The sequence below is a fragment of the Homo sapiens genome, chromosome 5 (genome assembly GCF_000001405.40).
Source record: "Homo sapiens chromosome 5, GRCh38.p14 Primary Assembly".
In the NCBI taxonomy this organism is placed as follows: domain Eukaryota; kingdom Metazoa; phylum Chordata; class Mammalia; order Primates; family Hominidae; genus Homo; species Homo sapiens.
The window spans coordinates 121,256,465-121,265,078 of record NC_000005.10 but is presented as its reverse complement, the minus strand read 5'-3'; positions in this window follow the sequence as shown (position 1 = coordinate 121,265,078).

Here is an 8,614-nt window from a genome sequence, read left to right as displayed (position 1 = left end):
TTTTTTTTTTAGGCAAGGCTTTGCTCTTTTGCCCAGACTGAAGCACAGTGGCATGATCATGGTTCACTTTAGCCTCTACCTCCTTGGGTCAGGCTATCCTCCTACCTCGGCCCTCCAAGTAGCTGGGACTACAGGCACGAACCAACATTCCTAGCTTATTTATTTTTTTATTTTTTATTTTTTGTAGACACAGAGTCTCACTATGTTGCCTAGGCTGGTCTCAAACTCCTTAGGCTCAAGTTACTCTCCTGATTTGGCCTCCCAAAGTATTGAGATTACAGGCATGAGTCACCATGCACAGCCAAGAAATAAATGAATATTAAGAACTTAGCTTTGGGAGGCCAAGGGGGGCGGATCACCTGAGGTCAGGAGTTCAACACCAGCCTGACCATCATGGTGAAACTCTGCCTCTATTGAAATACAAAAATTAGCCAGGCATGATGTTGGGTGCCTATAAACCCAGCTACTTGGGAGGCTGAGGCAGAAGAATCACTTGAACCCGGGAGACGGTGGTTGCAGTGAGCCGAGATCACGATCACGCCACTGCACTCCAGCCTGGGCAGCTGAGCAAGACTCCGTCTCAAAAAATAAATGAATAAATAAAAGTAACTTAGGAAAGAAAAACTCTCTTTTTGAAACTGTTTGTTGAGCCTAAAATTGGAATATAGTAAAAAGCTAAACAATTGTGATAATTGGAGTTAAGAACAGAAACTACAAGTTGGCATGCAATACAGCTGACTAGATGCAGCCAGGATGAACATCTGCCACCAAAGGACAGGGACACTGAAAAGACTAGCACACTCTGAGCAGATCTTCAGAGGGAAAGTATTGAGAATGGATGGAGGGATGACACAGACACTGGGCTGAAGGGGTAGAAAGTTAGGAACCCTGCACAGGACTACCATGCACAAGGACTCATTCCTGGCTTCCAAGGACTCCTGGTGAAGGGGTAAGCTGAGCAGGCAGGGAGCAACCCTCTCTCACCATTGGCCTCTGGAATCCTGGCAGAAGGGGTCCCCACAACCCCTACAGACACTTGAGTTGACCGGGAGAGATGTGGTAGAAGCAGGATTCTTGCCTGTGCAGATTCCGGAGGTTTTGGTGCGGGAATTCTGTAGTGTAGCACAGCCAGAGACACGCATTCTCCAAGGCTTACCATGCTTTCATAGACGATTTTAGCCTTTGGGGAACTATTAGACCCAAACAGAGAAGGGCAATCTTGCTCATGAAAAGGGATCAATTCATCCTGAGTGCCCCTCTGTCAGCTGGCCTCTACCAGGGACACAGCCTGTCTATGCCTGCTTGCAGTGCAGCCATGCACAACCAGTGTGCCTCTTAGTAACCTGCATCATAGCTCCTGCACTGGCAGACTGTGCTTGACCATTGGAGACATCCACCAGACCAGCCTCCGCCCACACACACCACCCCACCCGCACTCTCCTCCAACTGCAGCCTCTCCAGTGCCACTTTACAGGTAGGCAGTCACCCACAGCCGCTCCTCACATTGCTTTACCTGTGCACATGTGCTTGGATAAACCTTACCTCTCCTACCCTGCTGGCATGAGAGTCACTGCACATGTGACTCTACTGTGTCACTGCTGCTGGCATGAGTAACCCACTGACCCCTCCAACCTCCCTTCTGCATAACCATTGCCAATGTCAGTGCAAGCCCAGAGGCCAACAGCCCCATTCTTCCACCCTGCCATAGCCATTGTTGCCAGCACAAATGCACATGTAAAGGCCAGCGGCCCTGTGCCATCATTGCCACTGGCATGAATGTGCTCATGGAGGCAGCCAGACCCATGCAGGCAGGCACCCCATTCCTGTGCCAAGAGGGCCGCCAGTGTGAATGCACACACAAATTTCAATGGCCTTACCCCTCCACCCCTCCGCAACCCCATCTTTGCACCAAAACTACTGCAGCTGAGAATGACTGGATGGAGACCAGCATCCACACACTCACCAGCACCCCATCCCAGCTGAAAAGCATGCACCCCACCATGCTCACACTGCTGCTGGCATGGGCAAATGAGCATGGATCCTACTGCCATTACCCTATGAAGTGCTTTGGCTGGCCCCACCCATTGGAATGCTCTGGCCAGCAGTCTGGGAAAACCTTGGCCTTTCTAGTGCAGCAGGTTCCTAACACAAGGGGCAGAGATCAAAGCTGAGAACCCAATACAAACCCATAAGATTTAGAGTATGCAGCCCAAGAGTGCTAAGCTGAGCCTTAGCCCCTACAATCTTCCAGAATAAAGCTGATTGACAGAACCCAGCTTATACCACAATCAAACCCACAGGAACATCAAAGAAAATTAAGGAAAAGAAGAAAAAAAGGACAGCAACTCAAAGATGGAAGGAACATGAGCCCACACAGATGAGAAGGAACCAGTACAAGAACGCTGGTGACCCAAAATGCCAGAGTGTCTTCTTACACCCAATCAACTGCACGAGTTCCCCAGCAATGGTTTCTAACTAAGCTAAAATGGCTGAAATGACAGACATAGAATTCAGAATACAGATAAGAATGCAGATTATTGAAATTCAGGAGAGAATCAAAACCCAATTCAAATAATCAAAGTAATACAATTAAATGACACAGGAGATGAAAGGCAAAATGACCATTTTAAGAAATAACCAAACTGATCTGATAGAGCCAAAAGTTCACTTCAAAATTTCTGAACACAATTGAAATTTTAACAGCAGAATCTAACAAGCTGAGGAAAGGATCTCAGAGGTTGAAGGCTGGTTTCCAAAATAGACAAAAATAAAGAAAAAAGAATAAAGAATAAAACCTTTAAGAAATATATGATTATATAAAAAGACCAAACTATATGTCTATTGGTATCCCTGAAAGAGTGGGAGAGAAACCAAGCAAAAATTTCATCAACTTTGCTAGAGAGGCCAATATTCAAATTCAGGAAATGCAGAAAACATGTGAAAAATGTTACACAAGATGACCATCCCCAAGACACATAGTCATCAAATTCTCCAAGGTCAAAATGAAAAAAAATATTAAAGGCAGCCAGAAAAAAGGGCAGGTCACTTAAAAATGGCATCCAATCAGGCTAACAGTGGAACTTACAGCAGAAACACAAACCAGAAGAGATTTGGGGCCTATATTTAGCATTTTTAAAGAAAATGATTTCCACACAAAATTTCATATAAGCCAAATTAAGCTGCATATGTGAAGGAGAAATATAATCCTTTCCACACAAGAAAATGCTAAGGGAATTTCTTACCACAAGATTTGCCTAACAAGAGGTCCTGAAGGGAGTGCTAAATATGGAAAGGAAAGACCATTACTGGCCACTACAAAAATACACTTAAATACATAGACCAGTGACACCATAAAACAATCCTACAAACATGTCTGCGCAATATTCAGCTAACAACACAATGACAGGATTAGATCTGTACATATCAATACTAACCTTGGATGTGAATGAGCTAAATGCTCCAACTAAGGGGCACACAGTGGCAAGTTGGATAAAAAATGAAGACCCAATGTTATAAGGTCTTCAGGAGACCCAACTCACATGCAATGACACATATAGGCTCAAAGTAAAGGAATGAAGAAAAATATACCAAGCAAACAGAAAACAGAAAAAAGTAGGGGTTGCTATTCTAATTTCAGACAAAACAGATTTTTAAACCAACAAAAACTAAAAGGACAAAGAAGGGCATTAAATTATGGTAAAGGGTTCAGTTCAACAAGAAGACATAACCATGCTAAATATATATATGCACTCAACACAGGAGCACATAGATTAATAAAGCAGGATTTTAGAGATGCATAAAGAGGCTTCTATAACCACACAATAGTTGGAGACTTCAGCACCCCACAAGCAGTATTAGATCATCAGAGCAGAAAACTAACAAAGATATTCAGGACCTGAACTAAACATTTGACAAAATGGACCTAATGGACATCTACAGAACTCTGTACCCCAAAACAACAGAATATACAGTTTTTTCATCTGCAAAAGGAACAAACTCTAAAATAAAGCACACGATTGGCCATAAAACAATCCTTAACAAATTCAAAACAAGTGAAATCATAGCAACCACACTCTTGGACCACAGCACAATAAAAATAGGAATCAATACAAAGTAAACAGCTCAAAACCACATAGAAATTTATAAAGCTTCCCTAAATGACTTTTGGGTAAATAATGAAATTAAGGCAGAAATCAATAAATTCTCTGAAACTAATGAGAAGATAAAACATAGCAGAATCTTTGGGACACAGCTATAGCAGTGTTAAGTGAGGTTTATAGTCTTAACACCCATATAAAAAGTTAGAAATATCTCAAAGTAACAACCTAACATTACATCTATAGCAACTAGAGAAACAAGAGCTAGCCAATCCCAAAGGCAGCAGAAGACAAAAAATAACCAAAATCAAATCTAAACTGAAGGAAAATGACACACCAAAAATTACACAAAACTTTAACAAATTCAGTTGTTGGTTTGTTGAAAGAATGAACAAGATTGATTAGAGCTAGCAAAACTAATAATGAAAAAAAGACAGAAGATTCAAATAAACACAATTAGAAATGACAAAGAGGATGTTACCAACAACTCCACAGAAATACAAGAAACTCTCAGAGACTACTGTGAACACCTGTACGCATACAATTTAGAAAACCTAGAAGAAATGGATAAATTCCTGGAAACCTTCAATAATCGGACCAGGAAGAAATTGAATTCCTGAGCATATCAATAACAAGTTCCTAAACTGAATCAGTAATATAAAGCCTACCAAAGAGAAAAAGCCCAGGAGTAGATGGATTCACAGCTGAATTCTATCAGATGTATAAGGAAGAGATGGTACCATTCTTACTAAAATGATTCCAAAAAAATTGAGGAGGAGATACTCCTCTGTAACTAATTTTATGAGGTCAGCATTATACTGATACCAAAACCTGGCAGGGACACAACCCAAAAAAGAAAATTTCAAGCCAATATTCTTCATAAAGATAGATGAAAAAATCATCAACAAAATAGTAGCAAACCAAATCCAGTAGCATATCAAAAAGGTAATTGATCACAATCAAGTATGTTTCATTTCTGGGATTCAAGCTAGATTCAACATATACAAATTAATAAATGTGAATCATCACATAAACAGAACTAAAAACAAAACCCACATGATTATCTTAATAGATGTAGAAAAGGCTTTTGATAAAACTCAAAATCTCTTCATAGTAAAAACTCTCAACAAACCAGGCATTGAAGGAACATACTTCAATAAGAGCCATCTATGACAAACCCACAACCAAATTCATACTGAATAGGCAAACACTGGAAGTATCCCTCTTGACAACCAGAACAAGACAAGGATGCCTTCTCTCACCAATCCTATTCAACATAGTACTGGCAGTCCTGGCCAGAGCCATCAAGCAAGGGAAAGAAATCAAAGGCATCCAACTAGGAAGAGAGGAAGTCAAATATTTGTAGAGGATAAGATAGATTTTATACCTAGAAAAGCCTACAATATTTGCCCAAAAGTTCCTTGATCTGATAAACTACTTCAGCAAAATTTCAGGATACAAACTCAAGGTACAAAAATCAGCAGCATTCCTATACACCAAAAACTTCCAAGGTGAGAGCTAAATCAGGAATACAATTCCATTCATTATAGCCACAAAAAGAAAAAATTATTCAGGAATACAGCTAACCATGGAGGTGAAATATCTCTATAACATGAATGACAAAACACTACTCAAATAAATCACTAATAACACAAACAAATGGAAAAACATTCCATGCTCAGGTATAGAAAGAATTAATATTGTTGAAACAGACAAATTCCCCATAGCAATTTACAAATTCAATGCTATTCTTATCAAACTACCAATAACGTTCTTCACAGAATTAGACAAATCTATTTAAAAATTCACAAGGAACCAAGAAAGAACCCAAATAGCCAAGATAATTCTAGGCAAAAATAACAAAGCTGGAGGCATCATATTACCCTACTTGAAACTATACTGCAAAACTACAGTAACCAAAACAGCATGCTACTGGTACAAAAGCAGACACCTAGGCCAATGAAATAGAATAGAGACTCTAGAAATAATGCTGCACACCACGAACTATTTGCTGTTTAACAAAGTTGACAAAAACAAGAAATGGGGAAAGGACAACAAATGGTGCTGGAATAATTGGCTAGCAATATGTAGAAGACAAAAACTGGACCCTTTCCTTATACCATATACAAAAATCAACTCCAGGTGGATCAAAGACATAAATATAAAACCTAAAGCTATAAAAACCCTGGAAGCTAACCTAGGGAATGCCATTCTCGGCTTAGAACCTGGCAAAGATTTTATGAGAAAAAATGCCAAAAGCAATTGCAGCAAAGAGAAAAATAGACAAGTGGGAACTTCCTACTTAAACTAAAGAGCTTCTGTAGAGCAAAAGGAACTACCAACAAAATAAACAGACAACCCACAGAATCGGAGAAAATATTTGCAAATTATTCACCTGACACAGGACTAATATACAGATTCTATAAGGAACTTAAATTCATAAAAAAAAAAACCATTATAAACTGGACAAAGGGCATGAACAGACACTTTTCAAAAGACATACACACATCCAACAATTATTTCAAAAAATGCTCTACGTCACTAATCATTAGAGAAATGCAAATGAAAACCCCAATGAGAAATCATCTCACACCAGTCAGAAGTGCTATTATACCCTGAACCTAAAATTAGTGTTAAAAAAAGAGAAGCTAGATATTATAATGCTTTACAAAACATATCTCATAATAAGTAATAATATACTTGTAAAAAGACTAATATTCTCAAATTTCTCTGCTAGCAAGTAATGGAATGTGGAAAGTGAAATATTGAATTAGGAAATACCACATATTTGTTGTTACTTTTTAACTCTTTTCCCCTAATATTAGAGGTATCATTTCAGAATGTTTAACACTCAAGGTGAAGAAACAGTTGTCTAAATGTTTGCAATTCCTTCCTATTCATTTAATTTTATTTTTTCTTTATTGAATTCAATTAAAATTAACATTGGTATCTTTATTAAAACATCATAATGACTACATCATGATTTAAATGTATACATACTTATAGCATCTCTTTTATTTCTTAGAGACCCTTTTAGTATCCTGGTCATATAATTTGGGCCTTACTATTTTATTGGATATAGTTTTATGACCAGCTGCCAGTAACTTCCTTTTTTTCTAAAGGCTTTCCCTCCTAGAAGAGCATTACTTCCTGTATGCTATGCAGGAAGTATTGGAGAATATCTCTCAGGGCAGACCTCAACAAATGCTTGATAGGACCTGACATGTAAACATACTAGATATCTCACTCCCAAGTCTGATAAACTTGAAACTTTTTCTACTTTTTATTCCCAGAGTTAGCCAAGGGACTGAACTCCATTAATTCAGAGGGTTGGCTGCATAATATTCCTTTATTAGCTTCCTTCCTTTCCCTGCCTCATATCCCCATTCCCTTGCTGGTGTTTTCTGCATCTCCCTAATTAACCACTTGCATTTCTCTTCTTATCTCACTGCCTCCTTCCTGGAAACCTCATGCTAAGACTTATTTGAGTAAATCTTTATATAAAATGAACTGTCTGTGATAATTTTCACTGATAGTCATGCAACTAATTTGTGGACTCTGTTTTAGAAATTTTTCTGCTTTCTTCTCTGTGTTTTGCATTTAAAAAAAAACTAAACTAAACATATAGCCTAAGTATTTTTAGTTAACATGCAGTTAATCACAATCTTCAACTTATGGCATTCTATTTACCTCTTTTGTGTTTTATGCATTCATTTATCTACCCATTCACTTTCATGCCTATTCTGCATTCTAATTTCTACTGTTCATAATCCACCTTTCTAATCAATTTGTGTTTCTTCTTAACATGTTTTGTACCTTTTTAAAATTTAAGAATCATATGCACATAGAAAAAATCAATGAATACTCAGAAATGAAACACATCACGTAACCAGCACTCAGGTCAAGAAACGAAATATTACTAGACCCTCAGAACGACCCCTCATGCTCTCATCCACTTACTCTACTACCACACCCCCAAATTATAACTATTATATTGACTTTTAATAACTTCCACTAGTTTTATGTAATTTTGAACTTTATATAAATTAAATCATATTTTACATACTCAATTGTGTCGGGCTCCTTTTGTCTATATTAGATTGTGAAACTCATCCATATAGTTCTAGAGACTGTTCTTTCTCATTAATTCTTTTATTGTGTGACTATAATATGTTACTGTTTAAAATATTGATGATAATGTGGGGCTATTATATATAGCACTGATCTGGACATTCATGCATAAATCAAGTAATAAATATACTGATGTATTTCTGTTGGGTTTATATCCAGAAATTGAACTGTTGGCTCAAAGGTATGCTTTCAGTGAGTGTACACAGTATAGGTAAGGGAAACTCAGGCATGCTTCAGAGGATTTCTTGGTTTAAAAGACAGAGATGAGAACTTGAAGAAGTCAAGGTGGCTAGAGTTAACGGGAGAATGTACCAACATGGAGAGAGATACACAGAAAAATAACACAAAAGACGGGCAGGGTTTTCCCCCTCCGACATTTAGTGGAA